The 16,459-nt window shown below is 40.2% G+C and overlaps 1 protein-coding gene across 1 annotated transcript in view; it reads left to right on the top strand.

Annotated features, from left to right (window-relative positions):
- The window catches only part of GUCY2F (guanylate cyclase 2F, retinal), a 109,181-nt gene that overhangs the window by 42,814 nt on the left and 49,908 nt on the right, over nucleotides 1-16,459 (top strand). Inside the window, exon 8 of the mRNA NM_001522.3 lies at nucleotides 8,877-8,966. Coding sequence (NP_001513.2) covers nucleotides 8,877-8,966 — 90 coding nt within the window. The remainder of the gene's footprint in view (nucleotides 1-8,876; nucleotides 8,967-16,459) is intronic.

The following is a 16,459-nucleotide window of genomic DNA, read 5'->3' as shown; positions in this document are numbered from 1 at the left end:
AGTAGAGGCCCAGGACACTGATGCGGTCCAGGGCACCTGTGAGATCCCAGGGCTTGTTGCCTGGGGCTGACTCAAATCTCTGCTTCCCATATTTCAGTGCAGGGCTCTTTGGCCTTCCCAGTTGTGACTCAGCTGGTCCAAGGTGTGGCTTGGCCTACTGCTCTGGAAGATGCAAGCCATACATCTCGGTAGTATCCACGCGGTGCCAACTTTGCAGGCTCTCAGAGTGCAAGAGGTATGGAGGCATGGATACATCCATCTAGATTTCAAAGGATGTCTTGTACAGCTTCAGGACCCAGGCACAGACTTGCCACAGGGGCAGGGCCACTGCAGAGAGTCCCCATTAGAACAATACCCAGTGGAATTTTGGGGTCTGCGCCACCGCAAAGAGTCCTCACTAGGGCAATACTCAGCAGAACTGTGGAGTCAGGGCCACCACAAAGATCCTCCACTAGTACAATGCTTAGTGGGGCTTTGGGACATGGCCACCCTTGACACCCCAGACCTGTAAAGCCACCAGAATGCAATGCCAGTCTGGGAGAGCTGCAGTCATACTGGCTCCAACCTGTGAGAGCTGTGGCATGGGTTGCACCCAGCTAAGCCATGAAGGTGGAATCCACTGGGGCCTTGGGGGCCCAACACCCACCCCAGTGTGTCTGGGAATTGGAACATGGAGTCAAAGATTACTCTCAAGACTTAAGACTTAATGTTGTTTGTTTTGTTGGATTTTGGAATTACTTTGGACCTGTTACCTCTTTCTTCTTGCCTACTTCTCATTTTTGGAATAGAAATGTTTATCTTGTGCATATCCCAACATTGTATTTCGGAAGAACATGATTTGTTTGATTTCACAGATTGATGTGATGATATTAAGATGTGAGGACATTAAGAGGTAATTAGGCCACAAGGGCTTCTACTTTGTGAATGATATTAAGGCTCTTATAAAAGAGGCTTAATGCAGCCTTCAGCTAGCTTGCTATTCTGTATTCTGCCATGCGAAGACATAGTGTTCCTCCTCTTGGGAGAGGATGCAGCAACAAGGCATCATCTTGAAAGCAGACAACAGACCTCACCAGACCACCATACCTGCTGGTACCTTGATCTTGGACATCCCAGCCTCCAGAACTGTGAGAAATATATTCCTCTCTTTATAAATTACCCAGTCATAGGAATTCTGTTATAGCAGCACAAATGGACTATAGGCCTTCAACACCAACATTGGCATGGTGTATGTTTGTTCAGTCTATGTGAGGGCTTTGACTTAAATTAGTAGCAGGAAACCTCTGGATCTTGCCTTGGACTTAATTCAATCAAAGAGGAGAACTGCTTCAAATGTAAACTTGAGGTATTGGGGAATTGTCAGCTCTACTCTCTCAAAGACCTAAGATAGGGTAATCAGATGGCTTTTGAATGTCAAATGGAATGAGCTGATGGCTTTAGAAATGTATTGACACCTCTGGGATTCTGAAGTAAATCTCCATAACCTTGGTTTTTATCTGTAAAATGAAGGGTTGAACTAAGTTCTCAATCTTGGTTGCTTACTGGAATCTCCTTGGAGAAATTTAAGAAATACCTGCTCCCAGGCCCCACCCTCAGCAATTCTGATTCAGTTGGCATGAGGTGGGGCCAGGTATTGGTATTTTTTTAAAGTTCTCTGATATGTGCAGCCTGGGTTGAGAATTGCTGGTCTAACAGATCTCTAAGGCCTTTTCTGGCTGAATATGCTATCATTCTCTGATTCTGTGGAATAATTTATGTGTTAAATTGTGGTATGTTTTACTTGGTGGGGCTGGAAGGTTATAGTGTAGAATTGAGAAGGGGAAAAAATAAACATCTGTATGTAACTGGCCTTTAAGAGTCTGTCAGATCTTTTCACATTTTGGAAGGAGGCAGAGAGCTAAGTTAGTTCCCAGAATGACTATTGGTCAGTCAGATCATGAGTATTTCTAAATGGTGTAGGCCAAATCGTGTAGGCCAAATGGGGACTTTATTTTTACAAAAGGAGGGTGTTATGAGAATAATACCTACACGGTGAAGTCAATATTAGGCTGATGGCAGGGTGTGAAGGAAGGCAGCTGAGGCTAGAAAACTGGCCTGACTAAAGAGGACTGACTAAAGAGGTTAAAGAGGACTCAAAGAGGGAACATAAGCCAATCGCATTAACAGATGAAACAAAGAAGTAGTGTGTCTTCTGAAACAGTACTCTATTAGGAATGTTTTAAAGAAGACCCATTGTCTAGTTTCTGTTTAAAATAAATCAAATTTTCTTTTTTTTTTTGCTGTTATTTCATTATTGTTTATTTTCTTTTTTTTCTTCTTTTTTCTTTTTTTATTATTATTATACTTTAAGTTTTAGGGTACATGTGCACAATGTGCAGGTTAGTTACATATGTATACATGTGCCATGCTGGTGTGCTGCACCCATTAACCCGTCATTTAGTGTTAGGTATATCTCCTAATGCTATCCCTCCCCACTCCCCCCACCCCACAACAGTCCCCAGAGTGTGATGTTCCCCTTCCTGTGTCCATGTGCTCTCATTGTTCAATTGCCATCTATGAGTGAGAACATGCGGTGTTTGGTTTTTTGTCCTTGCGATAGTTTACTGAGAACGATGATTTCCAATTTCATCCATGTCCCTACAAAGGACATGAACTCATCCTTTTTTATGGCTGCATAGTATTCCATGGTGTGTATGTGCCACATTTTCTTAATCCAATCTATCATTGTTGGACATTTGGGTTGGTTCCAAGTCTTTGCTATTGTGAATAGTGCCGCAATAAACATACGTGTACATGTGTCTTTATAGCAGCATGATTTATAATCCTTTGGGTATATACCCAGTAATGGGATGGCTGGGTCAAATGGTATTTCTAGTTCTAGATCCCTGAGGAATCGCCACACTGACTTCCACAAGGGTTGAACTAGTTTACAGTCCCACCAACAGTGTAAAAGTGTTCCTATTTCTCCACATCCTCTCCAGCACCTGTTGTTTCCTGACTTTTTAATGATTGCCATTCTAACTGGTGTGAGATGATATCTCATTGTGGCTTTGATTTGCATTTCTCTGATGGCTAGTGATGATGAGCATTTTTTCATGTGTCTTTTGGCTGCATAAATGTCTTCCTTTGAGAAGTGTCTGTTCATATCCTTTGCCCACTTTTTGATGGGGTTGTTTGTTTTTTTCTTGTAAATTTGTTTGAGTTCATTGTAGATTCTGGATATTAGCCCTTTGTCAGATGCTGGCAAACCGAATCCAGCAGCACATCAAAAAGCTTATCCACCATGATCAAGTGGGTTTCATCCCTGGGATGCAAGGCTGGTTCAATATACGCAAATCAATAAATGTAATCCAGCATATAAACAGAACCAAAGACAAAAACCACATGATTATCTCAATAGATGCAGAAAAGGCCTTTGACAAAATTCAACAACCCTTCATGCTAAAAACTCTCCATAAATTAGGTATTGATGGGACGTATCTCAAAATCATAAGAGCTATCTATGACAAACCCACAGCCAATATCATACTGAATGGGCAAAAACTGGAAGCATTGGCTTTGAAAACTGGCACAAGACAGGGATGCCCTCTCTCACCACTCCTATTCAACATAGTGTTGGAAGTTCTGGCCAGGGCAATCAGGCAGGAGAAGGAAATAAAGGGTATTCAATTAGGAAAAGAGGAAGTCAAATTGTCCCTGTTTGCAGACGGCATGATTGTATATCTAGAAAACCCCATTGTCTCAGCCCAAAATCTCCTTAAGCTGATAAGCAACTTTAGCAAAGTCTCAGGATACAAAATCAATGTACAAAAATCACAAGCATTCTTATACACCAATAACAGACAAACAGAGAGCCAAATCATGAGTGAACTCCCATTCACAATTGCTTCAAAGAGAATAAAATACCTAGGAATCCAACTTACAAGGGATGTGAAGGACCTCTTCAAGGAGAACTACAAACCACTGCTCAATGAAATAAAAGAGGATACAAACAAATGGAAGAACATTCCATGCTCATGGATAGGAAGAATCAATATCGTGAAAATGGCCATACTGCCCAAGGTAATTTATAGATTCAATGCCATCCCCATCAGGCTACCGATGACTTTCTTCACAGAATTGGAAAAAACTACTTTAAAGCTCATATGGAACCAAAAAAGAGCCCGCATTGCCAAGTCAATCCTAAGCCAAAAGAACAAAGCTGGAGGCATCACACTACCTGACTTCAAACTATCCTACAAGGCTACAGTAACCAAAACAGCATGGTACTGGTACCAAAACAGACATATAGATCAATGGAACAGAACAGAGCCCTCAGAAATAACGCCACATATCTACAACTATCTGATCTTTGACAAACCTGAGAAAAACAAGCAATGGGGAAAGGATTCCCTATTTAATAAATGGTGCTGGGAAAACTGTCTAGCCATATGTAGAAAGCTGAAACTGGATCCCTTCCTTACACCTTATACAAAAATTAATTTAAGATGGATTAAAGACTTAAATGTCAGACCTAAAACCATAAAAACCCTAGAAGAAAACCTAGGCTTTACCATTCAGGACATAGGCATGGGCAAGGACTTCATGTCTAAAACACCAAAAGCAATGGCAACAAAAGCCAAAATTGACAAATGGGATCTAATTAAACTAAAGAGCTTCTGCACAGCAAAAGAAACTACCATCAGAGTGAACAGGCAACCTGCAAAATGGGAGAAAATAAATTAAATTTTCATAAGAATTGTCATTGGAAGACCTGGAATTTCCAGATAAGGTGCCCGGAGTAGCAGATATAGCAAAAGACAGGTTTAGGACATGCCATCACGTTGTACTACGCTCACACAAATTCACACTTTTATTGTACACACAGATGCATAACCTTTGGAATTGTGTGGGAAAATCAGCCCTTATTTCACAGATAGCCTTTGAAATGTGAAAGGAAAGCCAGATGAGCGGACTGCCAGGCAGAAAGAGCTGTGAATGGCAGATGCAGTGGGGACATGTCAGGATCTGCTCTAATAGTTACAGTCTGGGTGAGATGGGGTGTGGTGGGCAGCAGTGTAACCCTGACACATTCAGAGAGAACCCACTGAATTCATCTTCCCTCTTCATTTTCTGACTACTCTTTCCTCTTTGCTTCTCCCTGTGTTTTCCTCTTTGTCTCATCTTTCTCTCTCTCCATTCATCTCTCTTTCTCAGATCATTTTTTCTGTCTTCTCACATTCTATATCCCTTGTAGCTCTCTCCCTGCCGCCTCCCTTCCGTCAACCATCTTTTCTTTCTTATCACAGAATCGCAGATCATCAGAGCTAAAAAATCATCTAGTAAGTCCAGAAATCACCTAGTAAGTCCTAAAGAATCATCTAGTAAGTCTAGCTTTATCAGTGAGGAAACTGAGGCTCAGGCAGATTGAGTGGCTGTTCTAAGGCCACCCTTGAGTTTGAAGCAGGGCCAGGTCTAGGATCTAGTGCTCTTTCCCCTTATTAATACACCGTGGCTTTAGTTCAAAACTGATGGACTTTAAATTACTTCTAAAAAGTTTAGTGAATAGAGTTTGATGTTTCTTGCTCTTAATTAAAAAGTGAGTGATGAGTGAAGTATTTTATCATTCTCTCTTAAAAGAAAAAAACAAAACAAATAGTGCATGTGTGGTGAAGATAAAACTTGCCCATTTCCTCCCTTTTCCTCATTATTCATGAAGTAGAACTCACACAGACTCAATAAAAATTTGCTTACAAAGTTTGTGAGAATTATTTAAATCTTAAAACAAACACACACAAATCTCCCAAACCAAAGAAAGCCTAACGAGAGGAAAGAGCAACAAAGTAGGAGATGGAAGACCTTGGGTCAATTTGCGGCTCTTTTACTACCTAGTTTTCTGACCTTGGGACAGTCACTTAATCTCTTAAGTTTTCAGTTTCTTTATCAAAATATGAAGGGATTGTGTTATGGATACCTATGACCCTTTCCAGCTCTCACAGTTGTTGATTTGGCATGAAAAAGCTCTGCTTAGCTGCTCGTGGCACTTAATAAGCCAGACAGAAGGCTAGCCCATGTTTGCAATAGGGCTGGCTCTAGGAAGAAGGTATCAGGTACCAGGTTTGAGGCAGAGTCAGGACTGCGAGTACTGATGTTCAGGTTGTGTACTGCAAAAGGGAACTACATCTAAGAGGGTAATATTCACATTGTAACATATGCCAATTTATGCGTGAGTGGTACCAAAGTGGGCACAGAGATTCTGGCTTCCCAGCCTAGTTCTGGAATGAGGTGGTAGAAGAGCCTTCTCACATCTACATCTATACTGGCACTCCCAGCTATGCACATACATCATCACTGGTAAACTCATGTGTAGCTGGGTATGTACTATCTTGACTATGTTCCAGAAGTTTCTTGAGGTTGCTTTTCTCTCCTGCCTAATATTCTCAGAGAACCAATTTCGACTTCTCACCCCCTCTCCTAAAGCCTGACTCCAAAGGTGACAAGGAGGCTTCACTGGGCAGATAGAATTTGGTGATGTGCAGAGCATCCATGCTGCTAGTGGAATGTGCTCCCTGGTGTCTGGGGGATGTATCCATAAATGAGAGTATGGTACTTGTATGTATACAGCCAGGGTGTGCTGCCTAACATCACAGGGCTGCCACAGGCTGTATGATGATATACTCACAAAGTTAAGATTTTTTAAATTTGAGAGAAAATACCCTTTCTAACTAGCACAAAGGTGCCATAGTGGCTAGCAGTGACCATGGGCTCAGTAACATAGCTGCAAAGGTGCCGGGAAGGCTTTTTTGTTCACCAGTCTTTCCCACACATAGGCTGATTCCATAAATTTTCGGTTAGAGTTTTATTCTTTCAGCTTAATAGGTAGCCTTTGATCCCGCTAAAGGACAAAGTTCTCTGAAGGGTAAAACTTCAAGCTTGTGTCAGGCCCTCCTGACTTCTGTGAATGACTTTTCGATCCCTGACTGAGAGCAGATTTTGATGAAGGAAACGTAGTAAGAGGTAAATGAAGAGAGTGTGAGTGAGGAGAGTTCCATAAATACGAGGAAAAGGCAAAGGCTGGGATGGTGGGTCACAAATTTTCACCTGTATTAGAGTCACGTGGAGGGCTTGTTAAAACACAGTTTGCTGGACCTCACCCTACTACGATTTCTGATTTCGTTAAGTGTTGGGTGGGGCTTGAGAATTGGCCTTTCTAACCGGTTTCCAGGTGATGCTGATGCAGCTGGTCCAGGGACCACACTTGGAGATTTACTGGATCAAATGCTTTGACCATTCTGCTGCAGGCAGGCACTGATCCGGTACTACCCTTCTGAACTCTCTGGGCACTGAGCCTGGCCAGTGCAGTTTTTTTTCTTTTTTTTTTTTTTTTCCAGCTGCTGAAGGTCTCTGAGGGCCATTTCTTAGTTAAAGGACTTTGAGCTCCTTGGCTAGTAAATGCTAATACAAAGTGCTGGCAGGTAACTCGGAAGCCTGCAGCTTCCATTAGCCTTTGCCTCTGGCAGGTTTCCAGATGCAGTGCCATAGCTGGATATATTCCTTAATAAGAGAGTGGTTACACTCTTTTTTTTTTTTTTTTCCAGACAGAGTCTAGCTCTGTCGCTCAGGCTGGAGTGCAGTGGCGCCATCTCCGCTCACTGCAAGCTCCGCCTCCCAGGTTCACGCCATTCTCCTGCCTCAGCCTCCTGAGTAGCTGAGACTACAGGCGCCCGCCACCACGCCCGGCTGATTTTTTTGTATTTTTAGTAGAGACGAGGTTTCACCATGTTAGCCAGGATGGTCTCGATCTCCTGACCTCGCGATCCGCCCGCCTCAGCCTCCCAAAGTGCTAGGATTACAGGCGTGAGCCACCGCGCCCGGCCCGGTTACACTCTTATTTTTGGAATTTGACTGCACAGTGCCCTCTGCTTTATTATCTCTACTTGATGACAAGTTGGTGCAGCCCGAAATGGAATCTCCAGGCTGTAGGTAATGGATGTGAAAGCACTTTGAAAAGTAGAGAGCATTGTGCAAATGTAAGGCATTATTACTATTATGGAGAAAAAAGAATCTATATTGATATTTTTTTTAAAACAATTTGGGTTGGACGGAAACTAAATAGGGCTTTATGACTGATGAATCCTTGAGGCTATGCACGTAGAAAAAGGTTATCTATCAGGCGCTGGTGTTGAAGTGAAAACAATAAAATAGTTGTTGTTTTTAACTTGACAGAAGCCTTAAAATAGCAGTTTTTTACTTAATAAGTCAGAAATAGACTTTTGGAAGACTCTAGATTACTCACATTACTATGGTAGTACATTGAGCACTCAAATAAAAAATATTTAATCTAGATTAAAGACAATTGGATTGTGACTAAAGCATAAGACAGCCCCCCCTCCATACACACACACGAATGGCCTGTCCCACGAGAGAAAAATGGATCAAGGTAAATGCAGGAAACATTTGCTGCACTACATCTCCCACCCTACATTTCCCTCTACAGACGCCTCAAGGCAGTGGGAATTGCAACCACTAACTATCACCATTAATCGCAGGGAACCTGGTGCTACATCATTTAGCTATGAAAAAGTGAAATGACCTAGCACTTCCTGCAGTTAGTTAAGAAAGGCTTTGCAAAGAGTGGTATCATTCCGTTTCTGGAGTCTACATACTTGCAATTGTTTCCCTGTCTTGAGTAACTGTAATTTTTAAGTTTAACTTCTGTGCATGACCTCATTTCAGCTCAGAATGCAGAATGTCTGTGAGGTGGAGGGTGGGAGAGAAGGAAAATGTCTATTTGGATTGCTGGTATAGGTATAAACCCTTTATGTGGAAGGGACATTTTTCTAAAACTGCTGGCAACTAAGTTTCATCACTATTCATTCTCCTCCTTTTCTTTCTAGGGTGATTGGGTGTGGCTGAAAAAGTTCTCCCTTGGAGATTTTGGAGACCTTAAGTCCATCAAATCAAGAGCAAGTGATGTGTTCGAAATGGTATGAGAAATCTTCGTTTATGTAAATTCCCACTAAAATAAATCTGTTCTCCAAAGTAACTAACATCAGAGCTGTTTAGGAAGACCCCTTAACAAATCAGTGCAGGGAAACTGCAGGGTTGCTAATGGGTTGGTATGATCATATCATGCAATGGCAAAGGTATGTGCTCTGGAGTCAAAGAGACATGAAGCACTCAAATCTCGGCTCTACCATGTAAGAGCTGTAATAACTTGGGCAAGTCATCTAAACTCCCTAAGTCTTAGTTTCCTTATTTACAAAAGGGTTATATTAATGTCTACCCTTTAGGTTGGATGAGGATTTTAAGAGACAATACACGTAAAGCATCTTGCGCATTTCCTGGCACATAGCTTCTTTATCAAGTGGTAGCTATTATGATTATTATCAAGTAAATATCCCATCACCATTCCAAATCTTCATTTTCCAGTCACCTGGTAATTTCTATTTGAAAAGTGGTTATTTCCCTAATCCCACTAATTATGTTCAAGGAGTCCTTGGATGGCTTGCTTAAGAAAGCAGCCTGTAGATAAGGCAGGGATACTGATGATCCTTCCTAAGCCATTTTAAAATCTTGGCTCCTCCTTAGACTGAGTCCATACAAGACTTGTGAATACTATCTTGGGTCCCTTCAGGTTCTTGAAAGTGCAATTTTAAAAGGCAATCACAGATTGCTCTACATTTATGAAGTGAGCAATTTCAAATCATTCCAACAAATCTGAATGAGGCAACTGCTACTTCCAGAGCACTGAACAAGTGAGAAAACAAAGGAAATGGAAGACATGTGGCCTGTGGAAGATAGGACATGCCCTATAGGTTAGGAAGAGATGTTATGATTTGGTATTTTTCTTTCTTTCTTTTCTTTTTTTTTTTTTTTGAGCTGGAATTTCGCTCTTGTTGCCCAGGCTGGAGTACAATGGTGCGATCTCAGCTCACTGCAACCTCCGCCTCCTGGGTTCAAGGCGATTCTCCTGCCTCAGACTCCTGAGTGGATGGGATTACAGGTGCCCACCACCATGCCTGGCTAATATTTTGTATTTTTAGTAGAGACAGGGTTTCACCATGTTGGTCAGGCTGGTCTCGAACTCCTGATCTCAGGTGATCTGCCCGCCTCAGCCTCCCAAAGTGCTGGGATTACAGGCGTGAGCCACCGCGCCCAGCCAATTTGGTATTTTTCTTACACGTGATTGTAATGCTTGGAGATGAAGGCAAGATAATGAGACATGAGTCCAGAAGGGGGATCAAGGTCAGAACTAAAATAGACAATTCTACACTGGTTTCGTAATCCAAATTATGGTGCCAAAACAGGCCAAACCTGAGACAGCTGATACACTAGAAGTATTGACCCAAGGTAGAGTGTGTCCATGACATCTTTTTTGGGGTAGCTTTTAATTTTGACATAATTTCAAACCTACAAAAAGCTTCAATAATAATTCAAAGATTCAGCAATTGTGTACATTTTGCCTAGTTGCTTTTTATTATCTATTTATATATTTATGCACATTATTTTTCTGAGCCATTTGAGAGTAAGTTGTAGACCCTATGCCCTTTTACCTCTAAATACTTCAGTGTGTACTTCCTAAAAACACTACAGTATAATGATCAAAATCAGAAAATTTAACATTGCTACAATATTATTATCTAAACTACTTCCCATATTCTAATTTTACTAATGGTCTTATACAATACAGCTAATATTCCCACAGGTCAGTTTCCAATCCAGTCTCACACATTCAGTTTGCTGTCATATCTTTTTAGTTGCTTTTAATCTGTAACGGTTTCTCAGATTTTCTTTGTTTTTCTTCATTTTGATATTTTTGATGAATTCAGATCAATTATTTCATGGACTGTCCCTCAATTTTAGTTTGCCTGTGTTCCTCAAGATCGATTTAGACTATGCATCTTCAGCCGGAATACTACAGAAGTTATGTGTCTTTTTCAGTGCACTTTATCAGGAGGCACTTTATCAGGATGATGTTGATCATCCCATTACTGGTGATGTTAACCTGATTACTTAATTTAGGTGGTGTCTGCCAAGTTCCTCCACTGGAGAGTAACTGTATTTATCTCATTGTAATTAATACATAACATTGGGGGAGATACTTTAATCTATGTAAATATCCTGTTCTTCATCAAAGTTTTACCCAATAATTTTGACATCCATTGATAAATGTCGTATTCCATCATTGTTTCTGCATTTACTGGTTGACATTTTATTATAAGAAAGAATCTTCTCTTCTTCCTCATTTATTTATTCATTCAATTATTTATATCAGTGTGCACATATGGATTTTTATTTTATTCAATTAGTATCTATAATATTCATATCAATCAATCTGTCTATCTAAAACCATAAATTCATACTAAACTCTCTAATTCTAATCCAGTGCCACAGTGTTAATTCCGTTTCTTTTTTAACTTTTCCATATTTGTAATTTCCTTCTCTGACAGTGAAAAAACTGCCTTCCCATTATCCTCATGACATCTGTTTATGTGTTTCCTTCACTGACTTGGGTGGCCATGTCAGGTATAGAGTGTAACTCAAACTTAGAAAGCCAGGATTTTCTAGAATTTACCATGTAGATGTGCTTTAATGCTTTTTAGTTGAATGCTTTTTTGAAGCTGGAGGTGGATCTGATCATAGTGTCACTGTGAGTCCAGCACTGCCTTGACTACTTATGTGTATTCATGACCTCAAAACGTTAGGGCTGGGTACCAGGATCCAGATGGAAAGCAGATCTTTGTGAGCCAGATATAGAAAGGAGCAGTGCACAATGGGATGGATGTCCTTGAAAAACAAACAGCTGGAGTCAGAAGGCCACAGAGCTGATAATTTCCAACATCTTTTAAGATCACAACTTCTGCAAAATTGCGTGCAGGAAAATTAGGCTGTATCTCTTAGTCTCATGTTCTTCCCCATAATGTGGAACTGATTGGCATATTCCCTGTACTCCTATAAAGGCAAATGGAAAGTATCCTGGAGTTCTTTAAAGGAAATTCTCAGTTGTTAGAGAGTGTCTCTTTCTTTAAGAAATGTGAAGAGAAGGAAACTGCAGTTGCTGTGAAACAAAGTGTTTACTTTGTGAAAAAATATTTGGGGCCATTCTAGAGCCTCTATTGAGAATATTATCTTCCCTGTAGCCATTTCTTCTCCAGTGGGGCTGTTATTATGCCTCAGTACCTCAAGATCATGACCATGTGGTGAAATTGTATCCCCTGCTTACTGATGACGCTTCCCAAACAATGATTCTTTTGCCTTTGTTAAACACATTCACAAGCTTTTGAGGCTAATGCCATTCTCTGTTTTAGCATCTTCTACACCTCCTGTTACTTCCATCTACTCTCCATATTCGCTACCCTTAATTTATTGAATATTTTGGGATATGTATCATGGTCCTCCTCTCTACTCCAAGACCTGCTGTTATGCTGGTGACATCAATTGGACATGGACTGTGGACAACTATATATCTTGACTATTTCATTCTTTGCCATATCATCCTAATAATCTTCTCTTCCATTCTACTTTGGCCAAACACTGCTACCATTATATTAATACCTTCTGCTTTTCCATCTTCTATAACTGCTACTGAAAATGCTTCACCTGGCCGGGTGTGGTGGCTCACGCCTGTAATCCCAGCACTTTGGGAGGCCGAGGCGGGCGGATCACAAGGTCAGGAGATCGACACCATCCTGGCTAACACGGTGAAACCCCGTCTCTACTAAAAATACAAAAAAATTAGCCAGGCGTGGTGGCCGGTGCCTGTAGTCCCAGTTACTCAGGAGGCTGAGACAGGAGAATGGCGTGAACCCGGGAGGCGGAGCTTGCAGTGAGCCGAGATCACGCCACTGCACTCCAGCCTGGGCGACAGACCAAGACTCCGTCTCAAAAAATAGAAAAAAGAAAATGCTTCACCTCCCAAATTATGAATTCATCACACTCTCTGATTACAACCTCCTTTTATCCCAACTGTGCCTATATTTGACTATATCAGGTCTTCCAGTCTACTGACCTCTGCTTTCTCCAAACTCACAAGCCCTTGTTTTATTTACTTTATTGTCCAATTCAGAGTCTATAGTCTATCATTTGAACATGTTCTTATTAATATTTCTGTCTTTTTGGTCAGACACACTTGCAAAACTCTAGTTCTGTATGATCCCAACTCTTAACTTTCTTTGTGCTTGCACTTGAACAGCCAAATATTGTAGCAGAAAGTTATGCAGCAAAGTATATTGTTTCCACTATAAATTCATGGTTTCTTATATTTAAATGTCCCTTACTACTACCTCATAATTCCATTATACTTCATTGGTTAATTCACTTCCTACCACCCATACATCAAAGCTTCTCCATTTTCCTTGAAGCTCCAATGTCCTTCTCTTTCTCGATTTTTACTATTAGTATCCTGGTCCAAGCACCATCATCTCCCACTAGAGCTACTAAGATTGTCTTTTTTTCTTTTCATAGACTTAATTTCTTAAAAAAATTTATTTCCATAGTTTTTTGGGGGGAACAGGTAGTATTTGGTTACATGAATAAGTTCTTTAGTGGCAATTTGTGAGATTTTTGTGCACCCATCACCTAAGCAGTATACACTGAACCCAATTTGTAGTCGTTTATCTCTCGCCCCCCTCCCACCCTTTCCCCCGAGTCCCCAAAGTCCTTTGTATCATTCTTATGCCTTTGCATCCTCATAACTTAGCTCCCACTTATGAGTGAGAACATACGATGTTGAGTTTCCCATTCCTAAGCTACTTCACTTAGAATAATAGTCTCTAGTTCCATCCAGGTTGCTGTAAATGCCATTAATTCATTCCTTTTCATGGCTGAGTGGTATTCCATCATATATATAAATATATGTATATATGATGTGATATATATGTACACACATATAATATATATATATACATATATATCATATCTATACACACACACACACACACACACACACACACACAACAATTTCTTTATCCACTCGTTGATTGATGGGCATTTGGGCTGGTTCCATATTTTTGCAATTGCAAATTGTGCTGCTGTAAACATGCGTGTACAAGTATCTTTTTCACATAATGACTTCTTTTCCTCTGGGTAGATATCCAGTAGTGGGATTGAAAACTGAATGAAATGGTAGTTCTACTCTTAGTTCTTTAAGAAATCTCCACACTGTTTTCCGTAGTAGTTGTACTAGTTTACATTCCCACTAGCAGTGTAGAAGTGTTCCCTGTTCAGCTGGGCATGGTGGCTCATGCCTGTAATCCCAGCACTTTGGGAGCCCGAGGCAGGTGGATCACCTGAGGTCAGGAGTTCGAGACCAGCCTGGCCAACGTGGTGAAACCCTGTCTGTACTAAAAATACAAAAAGTAGCTGAGTGTGGTGGTGGGCATCTGTAATCCCAGCTACTCTGGAGGCTGAGGCAGGAGAATTGCTTGAACCCGGGTGACAGAGGTTGCAGTAAGCCAAAATCATGCCATTGAACTCCAGCCTGGGTGACAAGAGTGAAACTCCATCTCAAAAAAAAAAAAAAGTGTTCCCTGTTCACTACATCCACACCAACATCTAGACTTAATTTTTTGGAACTATTTTGGGTTCACAGGAAATTGAGCAGAAAGCACAGAGAGTTCCCATGTATCTCCTGTCCCCACCTATGCACAGCCTCTCCCACTATTAACAGGGTGGCTCACTGATTATAATCATGAACTTACACTGACACATCATTTTCACCCAAAGTCCATAGTTTACATTGGGGTAAACTCTTGGTGTTATATATCTTGCGAGCATTGGCAAATGTATAATGGCATGTATTCACCATTATAGCAACATACAGAATAGTTTCAGTCCCCTAAAAATCCTCTGTGCTCCACCTGTTCACACCTCTCTCCCCCTAACCCCTGGCACCTTGCAATTGTCTTTTAAGTATTTTAATCACATCCACTCTCAAATCCATTCTTCACATTGCAAACTACTCTTTTCAAAATTGAGTCTGATTTTATCACTTCTCTGCTTAAATCTCTTTAATAGATTCCTATTGTTCTTTCCTTTGTGTGGTGATTTCAAATAATAGATTCAATTTCTTTAATAGATACTGGACTATTCAAACTTTCTGTTTCTTCTTGTGCCAGTTTTGGTAAGTTATGGCTTTAAAGGAAGTTGTTCATTTCATATATGTTATCAAACTTATTGGCACAAAGTTGTATATGATATGCTCAAGCTGTCTTTTAGATATCCTTAGGATCTGTAATGATGTTCTCTGTTTCATTCCTGATACTGATAATTTATGTTTTTTTCTTAATCAGCATTGCTAGAGGATTATTAATTCTATTCATCTTTTCCAAATATCAACTTTGAACTTTGTTGATTGTTCTCTATTGTATGCCTGCTTTGTGTCCCATTGATCTATATTCTTATTTTTCCTTCCTTCTACTTACTTTGTATTTAATTTGTTGCTCTTTTACTAGTTTTCTGAGTGGGAAGCTGTGATGGTTGACTTTAACCTTTCTTATTTTCTAATTTAGTCACCTACGGCTAGAAAATCTCCTCTAAGCACTGCTTCAGCTACCACCCAGAAATTTTTCTTTTTTTTTTTTAATAAAAACCACTTTTTGTAATCCCAGCACTTTGGGAGACTGAGGCAGGATGATAGCTTGAGCCCAGGGGTTGGAGACCAGCCTGGGCAACATAAAGAGACCCCATCGCTACCAAACCAAAAAAAAAAAAAGGAAAAGAAGAAACATATGCAAAATAAACAAAATAGTATAACATTTATGTGTCCAAAACTCACCTTCAACAATCATCACTATCCTGTATTTTTTCATCTATACCTTCACCCATTTCTCACATCCCTAATTTGGTGGTGGTTATTATTAATTTTCAATTCTGTATTTTTAGGTACAGTTACACACGTTGAAATGCCCATATCATTTCTCTATAATTTTGATAAAAGGACCCCTACAATCTAGACTTCTATCATGATATAAAATAGGGATTAGCAAACTATGGCCCATAGCCTGTTTTTACAGACTGGAAGCAAAGAATATTTTCTACATTTTAAAAAGGGTTATGACAAAAGAAAACAACAACAGAAACCATGTATTATCTGCAAAGTCCAAGTTATTTATTATCTGTAGTTTATAGAAAAAGATTGCTGACCCTGATATAAAACATTCCCTTCTCTCCAAAATTTCACTTGTGTCCCTTAGAAAATTTGTGTTCACCGAAAACCAGAGGCAACCACAGTTCTGTTTTTCTGTTTGTTTGTTTAACTTGCATTAATTTTGCTCCTTCTAAAACATCATATAAGTGGAAACAGACAACAGAAAGACTGTGATATTCATCCATGTATAAGTAGCTTGTTCCTTTTTATTGCTAAGTAGTATTCCATTGCATAAATATAGCACAATTTAATTATCCATTTTCCTGCTGATGGACATTTGGGTTGATTGCAATTTTGGCTATTGTCAATATAAGTGCAATGGATATTCTT

The sequence above is a fragment of the Homo sapiens genome, chromosome X (assembly GCF_000001405.40).
Source record: "Homo sapiens chromosome X, GRCh38.p14 Primary Assembly".
NCBI lineage: Eukaryota > Metazoa > Chordata > Mammalia > Primates > Hominidae > Homo > Homo sapiens.
This window is presented reverse-complemented; position numbering and strand designations above follow the sequence as displayed.